Genomic DNA, 18,847 nt, shown 5'->3' on the forward strand with positions numbered 1-18,847 from the left:
CACGGCCCCATTCTCCGACTGGGAGCTCCTGTGAGCTCCAGAAAGACTGACTGTCCTCCTCTGACCCTGCCCCAGTCACCACGCTCACTCCAACAGCTGCAGGTGTCCCACTAACACCGCACCTGGCCAAGGGCACCAGAGTCCCCGGAGTCACGCTGTCTGCGTCCTCACCAGTCCTCCCAACTCAGTGCATGAGTCCCACTCACTCATCCGCAACGAGGGAGACCCTGCTCTGGGCAGCACTGCGGGGCAGATATGCAGACGCAATGCCCACACGTGCTCTGCCCCTGGCGGCCCAAGGTGGGCACTGGTCCTGTGTCCACAGCCATGCCTGCTGTGCAGGGCGCTGGACCCAGGACGCTGCCAGGGAGAGACGAGGGGCCCCTCCACCACCTTCTGTCTCCTGGAGGCCACTCGGGTATGGCTATTTGGGACGCATAGCACTTTGCACATCCGCGGCCTGACGTCTTCTACAATTTCCAAATGTTACTTTTACCCTGTTTCCTCTCTCTTCTCTTCTGGAAATCTAATTGCAGTCTTTCTTACTGTACACCACGTGGTTTTGTTTTGTTTTTTTGAGACGGAGTCTTGCTCTGTCGCCAGGCTGGAGTATAGCGGCACGGTCTTGCCTCACTGTAACCTCTGCCTCCCAAGTTCAAGCGATTCTCCTGCCTCAGCCTCCCGAGTAGCTGGGATTACAGGCACACGCCACCAGGCCCAGCTAATTTTTGTATTTTTACTAGAGAGATGGGGTTTCACCGTGTTGGCCAGGCTGGTCCCGAACTCCTGACCTCCTGATCCGCCTGCCTCGGCCTCCCAAAGTGCTGGGATTACAGGTGTGAGCCACCGCGCCCAGCCCCACGTGGTTTTCATGCTGTGTTCTGCAGTTCCCATTGCTTGGCAGCTCCACACTTCAGAATATTTTCTTCTCAACTGCCTTCCAGTTTACTACTTTTCTATTCAGCTATGTTTAATCTGCTTTTAAACGCATTGTCTTAGTCCATTCAGGCTTCTATAACAAAATACTACAAACGAGGTAGCTTAAAAATAGGGAATGGCCAGGCATGGTGGCTCACGTCTGTAATCCAAAGACATTGGGAGGCTGAGGCAGGAGGATCACTTGAGCCCAGGGCTTCAAGACCAGCCTGGGCAACAGAGCAAGACCTCATCTCTACAAAAACATAAACCAATTAGCCGAACATGGTGGTGTGCTCCTGTAGTCCCAGCTACTCAGGAAGCTGGGGTGGGAGGATCGCTTAAGCTCAGGGAGGTCGAAGCTGCAGTGAGCCATGATCGCACCACTGCTCTCCAGCCTGGGTGACAGAGTGAGACCCTGTCTAAAAAAAAGTAAATAAATAAAAATAAAAAGAACCCCAGGAATTTGGCCAGGTGTGGTGGCTCACATCTGTAATCCCAGCACTTGGGGAGGCTGAGGTGGGAGGATCACTTGAAGCCAGGAGTTTGAGACCAGCCTGGGGAACACAGTGAGACCCCATCTCTAAAACAAACAACAACAAAAAAAGTAGAAACCCCACACATTTTATAAGCCAGTTGTGTCCCTCTGATTGATGTGGGGTCTTTCTGGACAAGGCCACATTCCCCATTGCCTGGGGGGTTGGTGAGGCAAGGCCAGGAAGACATGGCACCCCCTGACCAGGGACAACCTGCTCCAGAACACTGGGCTGTGGGCCCTCTCAGCACGGCCACACCACCCAGGCGAGAAGTCAGGGCAGCAGCCAGGGGCAGAGTGCAGGTGCCTGTTCCTGGGATTTCTGCTCGTGGCTGCTGGAGACTGCTCCCAGCCTGACAACAGGGGCTAGCCAGGCAGAGTGGATGGTGGCAGCCAGTGTGGCAGGGGCCATCAAACCCTGAGGGCCAGCTGTGGGGTCAACCCCTCCATGGCCTGGGGACACTGAGGGGTGAAGGGCTCCGGAGTTCGGGAGATCGGGGGTTGAACTCCAGTCTGTTGCTCTGTGGCTGCAAGGCTTGGATTTCACTTAACATCCTTCTGCCTCAGTTTCCTCCTCAGTTATGACGAAGATTCAACAAAACAACGTGCATGTAGTAAGGCCCTGAGTTCAGCACTGACACAGAAAACCCTCGGTCAATGCGAACCATTAGTTTTGCATATCTGTGACTCTTTTTACCACTTAACAGATACTGCCTTAGGCCTGGGCCAGGCCTAGGGAAGGACTGGCAGACGGTCCCAGCACAGGGTGCCCTGTCGTGGCCCCAGGGAGGCGCCTTTCTGCTGTCCGTCTAGGGTTGCTGGGGGAGGATGGGGGGCTGGCAGGCGGCCGGGAGGGTGGGGTGAGTATGAGGAGAGGTGAGGGCACGTGAAAGGCTTGCTGGTCAGATGCCACGCTCTATCTCAGGAACGGACATGGGTTCTGCCCAGTTGGGGCAGAGATGAAGAAAGGTAAGAAGGCCAGAGGACCTGCCCACATGCCGATGATCCCGCCTGGCCAGGGGAGGAGGCTGGCACTGCCACGTGTGTGTGCCAAGCACCTCCTCAATGCAGGCCGAGGCCTGTGCTGGGCACCCGAGTCACAGATGGGGAAGCCCCGAGAGGCCCAGACACTCTCCCCAGGCCACGCAGCACAGATACAGTGGCAGCTAGGTGAGGACCACGCCCCACGGCGCCCAGAGTGTCTCTTGAGGGGTCTCTTGCCCTGCCCCACCCACCCTTCCGCCATGTAGGCAGCTCTGCTCTTTCCCTGGGGCAGCTCCTGAGCCTGCATTCCCCCAACCCCATCACCTGGCCCTTCTCCTCAGCTCCCCCAAATCACATCCAGTCTCCAGGCCCCACCGACTGTCATTCTCACCCCTAGTTGGCTGAGCTTGCCCCGGCCCCCGGGAGCAAGCACCCATGGCTCAGCTGCCCCTGCTGGGCTTCCTCCTGGGCCATGTCTGTCCTTTCAGCCAGTCCGGCCTCCCCGATGGGCCTTCATAGCCCCTCTTCCCGAGCCCAGCTCGTTCCCATCTCTCCAGGGCAAGTGGAATCCCAGGCCTCTCTCCTCACCCTTCTCTAACCTGTCCATCTCCTCCTCACCCTCCCAAATTCCCACACCTCTCTGTAGGGCAGGGGCACCAGAGCAGAGAGACCATCTCCCCCATCTCAGTAAATTAACAGAAATCAAACATCACAACACAGGCTGTTCAGGGGACACTTCCAAACTGCAAGGGAAGTTGGAAAGCCTTAAGAGCGGTCGTGGCCTCTGAAAATGCTGAAGTCAGGCAGGCAGGGCAGATTTGGTGACAGAGGATGGGACGACAATAAGGGCCCTGAGGGCTGCTTCTCCCAGAGCCTATTTTCGGAGGAAGAATTGGAAGCGCTGCACAAAACCAAAGCAAAACAAAACCACAGCCAGAAGCGCGTCCCTGCTGCTGTCGCTCCTGAGAAGCGGCTGCTGTCCCTGCAGAGCCTGGACGGAGCTGGGAGAAGCGCGCGGCGGCAGCAGCCGACAGGCTCCCAACCCAATGCCGCAGGTTTCCGAGGAAAACGCTCCGCCAGAGTCCCTAAATACAGACACAGTTATACTCACACAGAACAAGAAACCATACGTCTGAAATTATGCTTGAAAAACAACTTCACTCTCCAGGCCCTGTGACTTCACATTCGCCTGTGTTTCCTCTAGGCCTGACCCTGCCAGGCTGCCTGCCAGGGCGACCCCACTGCTATCCCTGCTGTTCTAGGTGTGGTCTCTTGATACCCTGAGTGCTGGTATCAAGCTGGTGAGATTTTTTTTTCTATCTCAATATGCAGAGAACACCAGAAGCAATGTGCTTTGGCCAGGCTGAGGTAGTAGCACGCCTTCACTGTACTCAGGGCTGGGCCAGCTCCCTGGCTTTTGTTTATAATTTCTTTTTTTTTTTTCCCTGAGCGAACTGCATCCATATAATTTATTTCACAGGGACTTTATTTCTTGCCATCTCACATGGCATCACACTGGTCCATTATGCTGATGGCAACTTGTGAAAGGAAGCACCAGGCATGCTCTGGGGGCAGAGTGGGGCTTCCAAGGCCTTCCGAGCCCAGCGGGCCTGGCTGGCTCTCAACTGTTCTGCTCTCAGCCCCTGTGGGGCTGGCATGGGGCTGGACACCAGCTCTCCTCCCTCTTCCCAGAAGCACCCGCATGGCTGTGGCAGCTCACACCTAGGCCTCCAGCATGTCCAGAGGAAAGCTTCACTCCTGGTGGGAGTCCAGGTTAGCTGAGGATGGGATCTCCCACGAGCGGCCACAATGGGACCCTGGCACACTCTGCACTCCACCCCAGGAGATGTTAGCACCGCTGTAATTGTGCCCAGCTTGCCGTGGCAGGCCCTCTCACTGACTCCCCAAGGAAGGTAAGTTCCCGCTTTCCAGAAGCCCTAGATCATAGCAAGAACTGGCTTGGCAGATTCAGCTGGGTGCCTGCTCTCAACCAGTCTACAAGTGCAACTCTGGCGAGCGTGAGTCCCACCTCCACGTATCATGAGAACACACAGAGCACGCGCGTTTCAGCAAAAAGGACTGAGAACGTCTCAGGACAGGGTCTGGCTATCCACTTCCCCACCCTGCTCCACCTTCCCAGCTAAACATGCATGCATCACCCCAGGCCACAAGCCCCCCGAGGCAGTACTCTGCTGCTGCACACTGGCAGGCCTCCCTCATACTCCCGTCGACCCAGCCTCTTCTTCCAGACACCACTGGACCTCTGTCCCAAGGTCTCAGCGACAGGATGACAGTGACAGGGGAGGGGCATGAGGAGGTGGCCAAGCTGCCTGGTGTGGAGCAGCCCCCAACCAGGTCACTGAAGGAGGCCAGGCTGCCATCACCACACTGGCCAAGGGCCAGGGATCACCCTCAGGGATGCACGGCACTACTGACAGCAAACACTGGGCTGGGCCGCCCAACGCAGCGGCAAGGCCTCTTCTCCCCGCCCAATGCAGTGGCAAGGCCTCTTCTCCCCGCCAGGTCCAGAGGGAGCCCAATGCCCCACACAGAGCTCGATGTGGGCTGTCGCCTCCCAGCCATTAGTTTACGGCCCAGAGGTGCAGCTGCTGGCCCTGTGTCGGGGGGCCTGGCCAGCACATGGATGTACTCGTGGTCTGAACAGGGATCTTCAGCAGGCTGAATCGTCAGCCAGGTGAAAGGTGCCAGCCTCTGAGAGGGGCCAAAGGCACAACAGAGGCAGAGGCCACAGGAAGTGCGCCAGTGGAGGGTTGCGGGGGCTGCGGACCTCCAGGAGGATCCTTGGACCTTCGTGGAGACCAGGACCTGGTGTGTCAGCTCGTGGGGCCAGAGGCGGCTCCATGGGGCTGAAGGAGGCCGAGCCACCAGAGTGGCCTGGTAGGTGTGAGGGGCAGGACGCTGGGGCGGGCTTAGCTCAGCGACCCACCCCCTACTCCTGACATCCCCAGAGAGGCCAGAAGGTCCTCCTCACCTCACCTGGGACACTGGCTTTCCTGAAAGCTCTGTGGGTGCCACAGATGAGCTCAGGGATAATGCCAGTGAGTCGGGCCCTTGATCCTGGGGGAGAATGGCATCCTGGGGATGGCAGAGCTGAGGCAGTGCTTGGCAAACAAAGACCAGGTGGGCACGTCCACCACGAAGGATGCAGTCGCGTTGGTCCACTAAGCACATGCTGGGTCCACAGGAAGCCCCAAGGCTGGTGACCAGAGCCAGGACCTGATCTGCCACAGTGGGGGTGGCCCTTCCACTACGAGCTCTGTCACTCTGCAGTGACCACTGAGTCAGCTGCCCAGATCCATCCCACTGATGAGGAAACGGAAGCTCGGGAAGGCTATAAAACCTGTCCTCTATCAAACAGCCACACTGCTGGGACCAGGGCAGGCTCTAATTCCCTGCCACAACCCTAATGTTCAACAAATACGAATGTAAGAAACAAACCGTTACCACTTCCAAGCTCCAGCTGTTCAATCGTCTGTGCAGAACGCCAGAGCCCCCTCGGGTCCTCCAGTTCCTCCCCAGCACCACAGTGCCCCTGGGTGGCCCATGCTGCGGACACCCACCCCCCTACAGAAACAGCAGCTGGCCCTGGCCCTGCATCTCCCACAGCAAACTGGTCACCACCTGGCCAAGGAGGAGAAATCCAGGTGCCTGCCTCTGCCTGGATATCCTGGGAGGTGGAGGGAGCGTCCTGCCCGCCCAGCGTGAAGGCAGTAGGGTCTTGAGGGTGGTCTCCAGAACCTTCCAGCAGTCTGTGAGGCTGACCCAGGGCTACTGGAAGCCAAAGCCCACCCCTCCACTGTGATTAGCGCCAACCTTCCAGACGGGCCTGGCAAGTGCTTTGGCACGTGTGGCCTGAGATGCCAGGGGTGGACCTAACTGAGGACCCTCCAGCACTCTGCTGCTCCACCAGGGGCTGAGGGAAGCACCGCAGGCTCCAGGCTGCCTAAGCCAGGCAGAGACAAAGTTCCTAGACAGGGGCTGCCAATGGGCCTGGGGCAGCTCTAAGGGGCTCCTGTCCAGGCCCCTGGCCCTGTGGCCTCCACGGCCTTTCCAGCTCTGGGTCTGTGGTGTTGCTGCTACGCGCCAGGCACCTCCCACTTGCAGTTAGCCTGGCTCACTGAGGAAGCCGCCCTCCATCACAAACGGCCACGCCTGAGAGATGGGTTCTACCTGTAGTGAAGAAGCTGGCCGTCCGCACTGTAATCCCGGTAAATCTCATAGTCCTTCTCAAGGAACACTCCTGGTGGTGAAGAGCTGAAACACAGTAAAATGAAAGAAATATGAATATAAGTGCAATCGTTTACCATAACCAGCCACTCCCTGACTTAAGAATGTGGCACTGCCACCTCAATTTCCTGGAAATAACCTGGCTCCTGCCCCCAGGCTGTATTCTTCATCTTCTGCCCTGAGTCCACCTTCTTCCAGCAGGTACACACCACTGTGGCCCATCCAGAGGCCAGGGAGTGGCTGGGACACCTGGATTTCAGAAGCTTGAACCATTGGAGCTGGGGCTACTGTTCTAAGGGCATAGAGATGGGGTTACTGAGAATCACAGCTTCAGCCAGACATAAAAAGATGACCTGGGAAGGAAGCATGGCTAGAAATAGCCTTGGAGACCAGGCACGGTGGCTCACGCCTGGAATCCCAGCACTGGGGGAGGCTGAGGCGGGCGGATCACGAGGTCAGGAGATCGAGACCATCCTGGCTAACATGGTGAAACCCCGTCTCTACTAAAAATACAAAAAATTAGCCAGGCGTGGTGGCGGGCGCCTGTAGTCCCAGCTACTTGGGAGGCTGAGGCAGGAGAATGGCGTGAACCCGGGAGGCGGAGCGTGCAGTGAGCCGAGATGGCGCCACTGCACTCCAGCCTGGGTGACAGAGCAAGACTCCATCTAAAAAAAAAAAAAAAAAAAAAAGAAATACCCTTGGAGACTGTGACTGCTGAAGGTCAGGGCCTGGAACATAACAAATATCTATGAAATGAATGGCTGAGTAGGCGATTATCCCGACAGATATTCCCAGGTATGTGATCAAACCGATAAGTATTTATGATCTAAAACAACTCTCAGTAGTCCAGAAGTAGAAGAAAATTTACTTAATCTGATTAAGAATATCCAAATTAAACTCAAGGCCTTCATAGTATTCAGCGGCAAAAGCCTGAACCTTCATAGTATTCAGAGGCAAAGGCTGAACCTTCATAGTATTCAGAGGCAAAGGCTGAACCTTCATAGTATTCAGAGGCAAAGCCTGAACCTTCATAGTATTCAGAGGCAAAGGCTGAACCTTCATAGTATTCAGAGGCAAAAGGCTGAACCTTCATAGTATTCAGAGGCAAAAGGCTGAACCTTCATAGTATTCAGAGGCAAAGGCTGAACCTTCATAGTATTCAGAGGCAAAAGGCTGAACCTTCATAGTATTCAGAGGCAAAAGGCTGAACCTTCATAGTATTCAGAGGCAAAGGCTGAACCTTCATAGTATTCAGAGGCAAAAGGCTGAACCTTCATAGTATTCAGAGGCAAAAGGCTGAACCTTCATAGTATTCAGAGGCAAAAGGCTGAACCTTCATAGTATTCAGTGGCAAAAGCCTGAACCTTCATAGTATTCAGAGGCAAAGGCTGAACCTTCATAGTATTCAGTGGCAAAGGCTGAACCTTCATAGTATTCAGCGGCAAAAGCCTGAACCTTCATAGTACTCAGAGGCAAAGGCTGAACCTTCATAGTATTCAGAGGCAAAGGCTGAACCTTCATAGTATTCAGAGGCAAAAGGCTGAACCTTCGTAGTATTCAGAGGCAAAGGCTGAACCTTCGTAGTATTCAGAGGCAAAGGCTGAACCTTCGTAGTATTCAGAGGCAAAGGCTGAACCTTCGTAGTATTCAGTGGCAAAGGCTGAACCTTCGTAGTATTCAGCGGCAAAAGGCTGAACCTTCGTAGTATTCAGAGGCAAAGGCTGAACCTTCGTAGTATTCAGAGGCAAAGGCTGAACCTTCATAGTATTCAGTGGCAAAAGGCTGAACCTTCGTAGTATTCAGCGGCAAAAGGCTGAACCTTCGTAGTATTCAGAGGCAAAGGCTGAACCTTCGTAGTATTCAGTGGCAAAAGGCTGAACCTTCGTAGTATTCAGCGGCAAAAGGCTGAACCTTCATCGTATTCAGAGGCAAAGGCTGAACCTTCATAGTATTCAGCGGCAAAAGGCTGAACCTTCGTAGTATTCAGAGGCAAAGGCTGAACCTTCGTAGTATTCAGAGGCAAAGGCTGAACCTTCGTAGTATTCAGAGGCAAAGCCTGAACCTTCATAGTATTCAGAGGCAAAGGCTGAACCTTCATAGTATTCAGCGGCAAAAGGCTGAACCTTCGTAGTATTCAGTGGCAAAAGGCTGAACCTTCGTAGTATTCAGTGGCAAAAGGCTGAAAGCATACCCATGAAAGTCAGGGCAAGAATTATTTATCCTTACCACCATTGTTTAATACAGTTTTTGGAAGTGCTAGGCAATGCAACTGGACAAGAAAAAAAACCACAAAAGATTCAAATATTTGAAAGGAAGACATAAAAATGATCATCAATTGTCAGCCTAGAGAAATTAAAACAATCGAATGAGAAACTTCAGCAGTGCGGAGAGACCTCACTTACGTACCACCTGCCATCAGAGGCTGTGCTGTGTGGTGGTGACTGGCTGGAAACCAAGCTCACCTTTATTAAAGCAACAGTAACAACAAAATACTAGGCACAGGTTAGTGAGGAATGTGCTGTATCAATATGAATAATACTGTAAAGTCTTGTTGAGACATATAAAAGAAGACTTGAATACATAACAGAGAAACACACACTCCCGGATGGGAAAATTCAATAAATATAAAGATATGACTTCTTTTTAAATTAGTTAATATGTTTAATGTCTTTTTTTTTGTTTGGCTGGGGGATGGAGTCTCTCTCTCTCACCCTGGCTTGAATGCAGTGGTGTGATCTTGATTTCAGCTCACTGCAACCTCCATCTCCCAGGTTCAAGCAATTCTCCTGCCTCAGCCTCCCAAGTAGCTGGGACTATAGGCACCTGCCACCACGCCTGGCTAATTTTTGTATTTTTATTAGAGACGGGGTTTTGCCATGTTGGTCAGGCTAGTCTCGAACTCCTGACATCAGGTGATCCACCTGCCTTGGCCTCCCAAAGTGCTGGCATTACAGGCGTGAGTCACCGCGCCTGGCCATAAATTCTAGTAATAATTTCATTCAGTGGCAACAGTAGGGAGCTAAAGAAAAATGTTCAGCGGGAGTACTTTCAGAACTTAAGAATGTTCAGTATGTTCACCCCCTACTCTGCTCCCTGCAAAAAGCCCCATATAAAAATAGCTGAGAAGTAATACAGAAAGGATGATATAAACAGTAATATAAAGCTACATAATTAGGCTGGGCACGGTGGCTCATGCCTGTAATCCCAGCACTTTGGGAGGCTGAGGTGGGTGGATCACTTGAGGTCAGGAGTTCGAGACCAGCCTGGCCAACATAGCAAAACCTCGTCTCTACTAAAAATACAAAAACTAGGGCCGGGCACGGTAGCTTACACTGTAATCCCAGCACTTTGGGAGGCCAAGGTGGGCGGATCACAAGGTCAAGAGTTTGAGACCAGCCTGGCCAATATGGTGAAACCCTGTCTCTATTAAAAATATAAAAAATTAGCCAGGTGTGGTGGTGGGCACCTGTAGTCCCAGCTACTCGGGAGGCTGAGGCAGGAGAATGGCGTGAACCCAGGGGGCAGAGCTTACAGTGAGCCAAGATTGCACCACTACACTCCAGCCTGGGCGACAGAGCGAGACTCTGTCTCAAAACAAAAAACAAAAAAACAAAAACTAGCCGGAAGGGTGACACATGCCTGTGGTCACAGTATCAGGAGAATTGTTTGAACCTGGGAGGTGGAGCTTGCAGTGAGCCGAGATCGTGCAAGCCCGGGTGACAGAGTGACTTTGTCTCCAAAAAAAAAAAAAAAAAAAAAAAAAAAAGCTACATAATTAAAGCAGTGTAGTACTAGTAGATGGATGGATTCTGGAATGCAACAGAAAGCGCAAGTATTGACCCAAATATATAAAATAATTCAGGAGACAGGGATTAAAATTTTTGTACACAGCAAGTAGGCTGGAGACCAATCGTGTGTCTGAGGACAGGGACTAAGTAAGCACATTGCTCCTACTGAGAAATATGACATGGCTGCTGAAATACGGTTGTGGTAAAATATTTTAAAAACCTCAAGGATATATGCCAGAAAATTAAGGCAAGTTGATGATCCCTTATCTAAAATGCTTGGGATCGGAAGAGTTTTGGATTTTGGATTTTTTAGGATTTTGGAATATCTACATATACATATACATAATGAGGTATCTTGGGAGTAGGACCCAAGTCTAAATACAAAATTCATTTATGTTTCATATATACCTTATCCACATAGCCTGAAGGCAATTTTATAGAATATGTTTAATAATTCTGTGCATGAAACAAAGTTTTGACTGTGTTTTAATGGCAACCTATCACCTGAGGTCAGACGTGGAAGTTTCCACTTGTGGCATCACGTTGACACTCAAAACGTTCCAGATCATGGAGCACTTTGAATTTTGTGTGCTTGGCCTGTGGTAGACAGCACTAATATCTATTACAAGTGTTTATTTTCTTTTATGTAATTATACATATCTTCTATGACTAATGTACATTGCTTCTCAAATAAAAAGGTCATTTTAAAAATGTTTTAAAATCAGTTGTATCAACAAATGGCAAACTTGCCGGGCACAGTGACTCACGCCTGTAATTCCAACACTTTGGGAGGCCAAGGTGAGTGGATCACTTGAGGTCAGGAGTTTGAGACCAGCCTGGCCAACATGGTGAAACCCCCGTCTCTACTAAAAATACAATAAGTAGCCGGGTGTGGTGGCGCGTGCCTATAATCCCAGCTACTTGGGAGGCTGAGGCAGGAGAATCGCTTGAACCCAAGAGGCAGAGGTTGCAGTGAGCTGGGATCTTGCCATTGCACTCCAGCCTGGGCAACAAAACGAGACTCCGTCTCAAAAAAACAAAACAAAATAAAAAAACAAATGGCAAACGTTAAAGTTGGCTGGTGGTCAATATCTTCAAACACATAATTACGGTACAGAACAAAAAGCTAGAAATATGGAATATGCCGAGATGGAAAACCATATAGGCAAAGACATCTATAAGATTGCTGTATCTGTATCTAACCCTCCTACCATTTCTGACTCGTCACCAAAAGATGACTGGGGTCCTGCAAGTGGGCCTTCAATGTTATGCTCTCGAGGACCAGCGGTGCGCGGGTTACTCTGTTACTGAGTTAGATGAATATCATGTTCCTGAGGCGGTGATGCTATGGCTGTGCTAAAGGAGCATGACGTCAACACTACTAGAGCAAGTACTCGTCACAACAGACTCAACTTACACAACTGTCAGAAACATTTTAAACAGAAACAGAAACTCTCAAGTGGAGTATTTCATCACGGCAGAATTACTTTACAAAAATAAAAATGACCCTTACACTAACGTATGTTCTAATGTGGCTCACTTGTTAGCCAAGCAAGGAAAACTGTTCACTGATGGGAAATTAATTACATTGTGTTGATTATGGCATCTAAAACTGTGTCGAGAGATGATAAACTTGCTTAAGACTATTAGCCTTTTGGCAAGAGCAGCTGCTTGAGGAGTTGAGGACAGTGAGAGCAACACAACAGCCCTAGGACCCCAGTGGTTTCCATTGCACCCCAGCGGTTTCCATCACACCCCAGTGGTTTCCATCGCACCCCAGCAGTTTCCATCGGACTCACCCCAGTGGTTTCCATCACACTCCAGTGGTTTCCATCACACTCCAGTGGTGTCCATCAGACCCCAGTGGTTTCCATCACACTCCAGTGGTTTCCATCACATTCCAGTGGTTTCCATCAGACCCCAGTGCTTTCCATCACATCCCAGTGGTTTCCATCGGGCCCCAGTGGTTTCCATCGGACTCACCCCAGTGGTGTCCATCACACTCCAGTGGTTTCCATCACACTCCAGTGGTGTCCATCACACTCCAGTGGTTTCCATCACACTCCAGTGGTTTCCATCACACTCCAGTGGTTTCCATCAGACTCCAGTGGTTTCCATCAGACCCCAGTGGTTTCCATCACACTCCAGTGGTTTCGATCGGACCCCAGTGGTTTCCATCGGACCCCAGTGGTTTCCATCGCGCTCCAGTGGTTTCCATCGGACCCCAGTGGTTTCCATCGCGCTCCAGTGGTTTCCATCGCGCTCCAGTGGTTTCCATCGCGCTCCAGTGGTTTCCATCACACTCCAGTGGTTTCCATCGGACTTAATCCAGTGGTTTCCATCGGACTTAATCCAGTGGTTTCCATCGGACTTACTCCAGTGGTTTCCATCGGACCCCAGTGCTTTCCATCACATCCCAGTGGTTTCCATCGGGCTCCAGTGGTTTCCATTGGACTCACCCCAGTGGTTTCCATCACACTCCAGTGGTTTCCATCGCACTCCAGTGGTTTCCATCACACTCCAGTGGTTTCCATCACACTCCAGTGGTTTCCATCGGACTCCAGTGGTTTCCATCGGACCCCAGTGGTTTCCATCACACTCCAGTGGTTTCCATCACACTCCAGTGGTTTCCATCGGACTTACTCCAGTGGTTTCCATCGGACTTACTCCAGTGGTTTCCATCGGACTTACTCCAGTGGTTTCCATCGGACTTACTCCAGTGGTTTCCATCGGACTTACTCCAGTGGTTTCCATCAGACCCCAGTGCTTTCCATCACATCCCAGTGGTTTCCATCGGGCTCCAGTGGTTTCCATTGGACTCACCCCAGTGGTTTCCATCACACTCCAGTGGTTTCCATCGTGCTCCAGTGGTTTCCATCGTGCTCCAGTGGTTTCCATCGGGCTCCAGTGGTTTCCATCACGCTCCAGTGGTTTCCATCACGCTCCAGTGGTTTCCATCGGACCCCAGTGGTTTCCATCGCGCTCCAGTGGTTTCCATCGCGCTCCAGTGGTTTCCATCGGACCCCAGTGGTTTCCATCGGACTCCAGTGGTTTCCATCGCACTCCAGTGGTTTCCATCGCACTCCAGTGGTTTCCATCGGACTCACTCCAGTGGTTTCCATCGGACTCCAGTGGTTTCCATCACACTCCAGTGGTTTCCATCACACTCCAGTGGTTTCCATTACACTCCAGTGGTTTCCATCGGACTCACTCCAGTGGTTTCCATCGGACCCCAGTGGTTACCATCGGACTCCAGTGGTTTCCATCGGACTCACTCCAGTGGTTTCCATCGGACTCCAGTGGTTTCCATCGGACTCACTCCAGTGGTTTCCATCGCACCCCAGTGGTTTCCATTGGACTCCAGTGGTTTCCATCGGACTCACTCCAGTGGTTTCCATCGGACTCCAGTGGTTTCCATCACACTCCAGTGGTTTCCATCGGACTCACTCCAGTGGTTTCCACAGACTAACTCCAGTGGTTTCCATCGGACTCCAGTGGTTTCCTTGGCTCTTGATGAGCTGACAGACGTTACTGGTACTGCTATGTTTGAAGGAGTCAATATTGAGCTTGAAGTGACCAAAGAATTAGCCTCTATCACTTGCTCTATGTGGAACAACTAGAACACACAGTATTTTCAAATAAGTTGTGAAAATACTAATTTTGTATGACCTGAAGTGGAATCTACTAAGATGAACTACAACTGATCATGCTAAGAATATATGTGGATCAGAAAAGGCTTACTTAGACAAACTTACAAAGCTTATGAAAACTGAAGATAATGTGAAAATATAAGCCTATGTTTATTGTGTTTTTCATTAGCAGCTACTTTGTGAAAAGTATTTGAATCTATTAGGAGTTACTGAAACAGTGGCATCAACACGAACTTCATGCACTCTCATGACTCAGCCATCATTAGTTCCATGAATTTTTGTCAGAAATCAATGATAAATATTCTCACTTTCCGACCACACAAAATTCAACAGCTTCGCAGTGGCAAAGTTTTATTGTCATTTTTTAGAAAACTCTGGGCCAAGACTAAAAGTCTCTGCATGAGAAAAACCTCCCTCAACCACTATTAAACACTGAAAAGGGCTTGGCACCCTAAAATTTTAGGGCTCAGCCCTAAAATCCCAATGCTTTAGGGGGCTGAGTTAGGAGGATCACTTGAGACGAGGAGTTCAAGACCAGCCTGGAAAGATAGTGAGACCTTATCTCTATAAAAAAAAAATAATAATAATAAAAGAAAATTAGCTGGGCACAGTGGCATATGCCTATAGTCCTAGCTGCTCTGGAGGAGAATCACTGGAGCCCAGGAGTTCAAGGCTGCAGTGAGCTGTGATCACACCACTGCATTCTAGCATGGGTAACAGCGAGACCTTGTATCTAAAAAAAATAATAATAAAATAAATAAATAAATAAGTGCACAATTAATGACTTTGGAAATTAATTTTTGTTGTAGGCTTGACAACATTTCTTAATGAATTCAACCTAACATTACAAATCAAACAGTGCATATGTGTGAAACTTATATTGCAGTAAAGTTATTTCGATGTCAACTAATGTCTGAATCATAAGTAATGTCAAGCTGCTTTATCTACTTCCCATGGTGTCTAAAATTAAAACAGAAAGTGAGATTTCCATTCCCACACAAATTTGCAGCAGATATATTTTCTGAGCTCAAAATATAGATCCAGCAGAATTTGATAAATGCCTTCCAAATCATATGCTCATGGACTGACACCAGTATTTGGCAGTAGCTCTCTGTGTAAAAAGACATTTTTGCAGATGAAGCATGTAAAATGTCATCACAAATAACAAGAGATGAACATCTGCAATTGGTTCTGATAGTCAGGAATGCCAACTCCTTTTGGTTTCTCTGAGCAGCAGCACTGGCCCCCGTTGTCCCCTGAGCACACCAAATGCTCTTCCGTCTCGGGACGTGCCACTTGGTGCTTCCCCTGCTGGGATGGCTTCCCCTCATATATCAACAACTTTTGCTCACAAGATGGAAGTTCTTGCTCCTCAGAATGCACTGAATCTCTACCAATAACTTGGAGAAGGGGAAAAAAAGGGAACTATTACAAGAAAACTCAACCAGTTGAACCTAACCCCAAACTGACACAAATGAAAGTAGTTGAGAAAGACATTAACAGTTACTAAAGTTGTATTCCATATGTTCAAAAAGCTAGAGAAATGACTGAACATGTTAAGTAGAGACGTAGAATATACAAAAAAGAACCCAATCAAAGTTCTAGAGATAAGCATTATGATGTCTGAGAGGAAAAATACACTGGGGCTGGGCATGGAGACTCACGCCTATAATCCTAGCACTTTGAGAGGCTGAGGCAGGAGGACCACTTGAGGCCAGGAGTCTGAGACCAGCCTGGGCAACATAGTGAGATCTCTAAAAAAAAAAAAAAAGGCCAGGCATGGTGACTCAGCCTGTAATCCCAGCACTTTGGGAGGCCAAGATGGGGGCGAGTCATCTGAGGTCAGGAGTTCGAGACCAACCTGACCAATATGATGAAGCCCTGTCTCTCCTAAAACACACAAAAATTAGCCAGGCGTGGAAGCATGTGCATGTAATCCTAGCTACTCGGGAGGCTGAGACAGGAGACTCGCTTGAACCCGGGAGGCAGAGGTTGCCGTGAGCCGAGATTGCGCCATTGCACTCCAGCCTGGGCAACAAGAGTGAATTCCATCTCAAAAAAAAAATTATATACATATAAATTAGCTAGGTGTGGTAATGTGTGCCTGTTGTCTCAGCTACTTGGGAGGCTGAGAGGACTGTCTGGGCCAGGAGGTTGAGGCTGCAGTGAGCCGAGCCTGCATCACTGCACTCCAGCCTGGGCAACGGCAAGGCCTTGCCTCAAAACCAAACCAAACCAAACCCACCACTAGAAAGAAAAAACGCTTCGTGAATTTGAAAGCACAACAACAGAAATGATCCAAAATTAAAGCTACAAAAAACAGAGGAAAAATAAAGAAAAAAGAGAAAGTGGGACTGAGTGCAGTGGTTCATGCCCGTAATTCCAGCATGGTGGGAGGTCAAGGCGGGTGGATCACTTGAGGTCAGGAGTTCAAGGCCAGACTGGGCAATGTGGCGAAACCCCGTCTCTACTAAAAATACAAAAATTAGCCAGGCGCGGTGGCAGGTGTCTGTAGTCCCAGCCACTCGGGAGGCTGAGGCAGGAGAATTGCTTGAACCCAGGAGGTAGAGGTGCAGTGAGCTGAGATTGCACCACTGCACTCCAGCCTGGGTGACAGAGCGAGATTCCATCTTAAAAAACAAAAGAAAAGAAAATGGAAATTATCCCACAGAGTCAGAGAGCTGCAGGATGACTTCAAGTGACCTGACACATAACTGCAGTGCTGGGTGGGGGTGTGAGCACAAACACAGTCTAAAGAAAAGGCCAGGCACAGTGGCTCACACTTGTCGCACTACGGGAGGCTGAGGCGGGAGGATCGCTTGAGCCCAGGAGTTTGAGACCAGCCTGGGAAAAACAGAGAGACCCCAACTCTACAAAAAAAAAAAAAAAAGGCTGGGTACGGAAGTCAGCAAGCTTGTGGTCCCAGCTACTCAGGAAGCAGAGGTGGGAGGATCGCTTGAGCCCAGGAGGTTGACGCCGCCATCATCTGTGATTGCGCCATTGCACTTCAGCCTGGGCTACAGAGCGAGACCCTGTCTCAACAACAAAAAAAGTTTTGTTTTGGGAGAAAAAATGACTGAAAATTTCTCAAACGTGATGAAGACCATAAACTGAGAGGTCCAAGAAGCTACACGAACCCCAGCACAAGGAACACGAAGAAAATGACATAAACCCCTATCTTAATCAAATTGCTTAAAATGAGCAAAATAGAGAAAATAAAGGAGCTAGAGCCAGGTGTGGTGGCTCACTCCTGCAAATCCAGTGCTTTGGGGGCCGAGGCAGGTGGATCGCTTGAGTCCAAGAGTTTGAGACCACCCTGGGCAACATGGTAAAACCCCATCTCTACCAAAAATACAAAAATAAGCTGGGTGTGGTGGTGTGCACCTGTGGTCCCAGGTGCTGAGGTGGGAGGACAGTTTGAGATTGGGAGGCAAAGTGTGCAATGAGCAGAGATCACGCCATTCCACTCCAGCCTGGGTGAAAGAGCCAGACCCTGCCTCAAAAAAATAGAATGAAATTGGCTGGGTATGGTAGCTCATGCCTGTAATCCCGGCACTTTGGGAGGCCAAGGTGGGCAGATCACTTGAGGTCAGGAGTTCGAGGCCAGCCTGGCCAACATGGTGAAACGCCGGCTCTACTAAAAATACAAAATTAGCTGGGCATGGTGGTGTGCGCCTGTAATCCCAGATACTTGGGAGACTGGGGCAGGAGAATTGCTGGAAGCCAGGAGGTGGAGGTTGCAGTGAGCCGAGATCGTGCCACTGCGCTCCAGCCTAGGTGACATAGTGAGACTCCATCTCAAAAAAAGAAAAAAAAAAAAAAGAAATAAAGGAGCTAGAGTTAAAAGACACATTATGTAAAGAAATACAAAGAATGACAGCTGATTTCTTGTTAGAAATGATGCAAGCCAGAAGACAATGAAGTGGCAAAAAGGAATAAATCTTAACCTACACCCAGCAAAAGTAGCTTTCAAAAATGAAAATGAGGCCAGGTGTGGTGGCTGATGTGGGCGGCAAGCCACCCAGGTGCTGAGGCAAGAGACTGAAGGCACGAGCTGTTCCAGTATGATAAAATATATAAAATAAGAATAGTTATACCAGATATAGATCTTAGATATGATTATATATGAATATCATTGATCAATAGTTTGTAGCAATTACTCTTTATTCCAATATTATAATAATCCTTGCTCTACAATCATAACCTAGGAAAAACCAGGCCATACAGAGATAGGAACTGAGGGGACATAGTGAGGAGTGACCAGAAGACAAGAGTGCGAGCCTTCTGTTATGCCCAGACAGGGCCACCAGAGGGCTCCTTGGTCTAGCGGTAACGCCAGCGTCTGGGAAGACACCCGTTGCCAAGCGGACCGTGGTCTAGCAGTAGCGTCAGTATCAAGGGAAAACACCCGCTACTTAGCGGACCAGGAAAGGGAGTCTCCCTTTCCCGGGGGGAGTTTAGAGAAGACTCTACTCCTCCACCTCTTGTGGAGGGCCTGACATCAGTCAGGCTCGCCTGCAGTTATCCAGAGGCCTAACCATCTCCCTGTGATGCTGTGCTTCAGTGGTCACGTTCCTAGTCCACCTTCATGTTCCATCCTGTACACCTGGCTCTGCCTTCTAGATAGCAGTAGAAAATTAGTGAAAGTACTAAAAGTCTCTGATATGCAGAAATAATGGCGTAAGTTGTTTCTCTCTCTCTCTCCTCTCTCTCTGCCTCGGCTGCCA

The 18,847-nt window shown here is 50.0% G+C and overlaps 1 protein-coding gene across 6 annotated transcripts in view; it reads right to left on the bottom strand.

Moving 5' to 3' along the window:
* Positions 1-18,847, bottom strand: part of ARHGAP39 (Rho GTPase activating protein 39) — a 171,184-nt gene that overhangs the window by 19,756 nt on the left and 132,581 nt on the right. For all 6 annotated transcript variants that reach the window (XM_011517308.2, NM_001308208.2, NM_025251.3 and 3 more), the window contains one exon: positions 6,626-6,709. In XM_011517308.2, coding sequence (XP_011515610.1) covers positions 6,626-6,709 — 84 coding nt within the window. The remainder of the gene's footprint in view (positions 1-6,625; positions 6,710-18,847) is intronic.

The sequence above is a fragment of the Homo sapiens genome, chromosome 8 (genome assembly GCF_000001405.40).
Source record: "Homo sapiens chromosome 8, GRCh38.p14 Primary Assembly".
Classification (NCBI taxonomy): domain Eukaryota; kingdom Metazoa; phylum Chordata; class Mammalia; order Primates; family Hominidae; genus Homo; species Homo sapiens.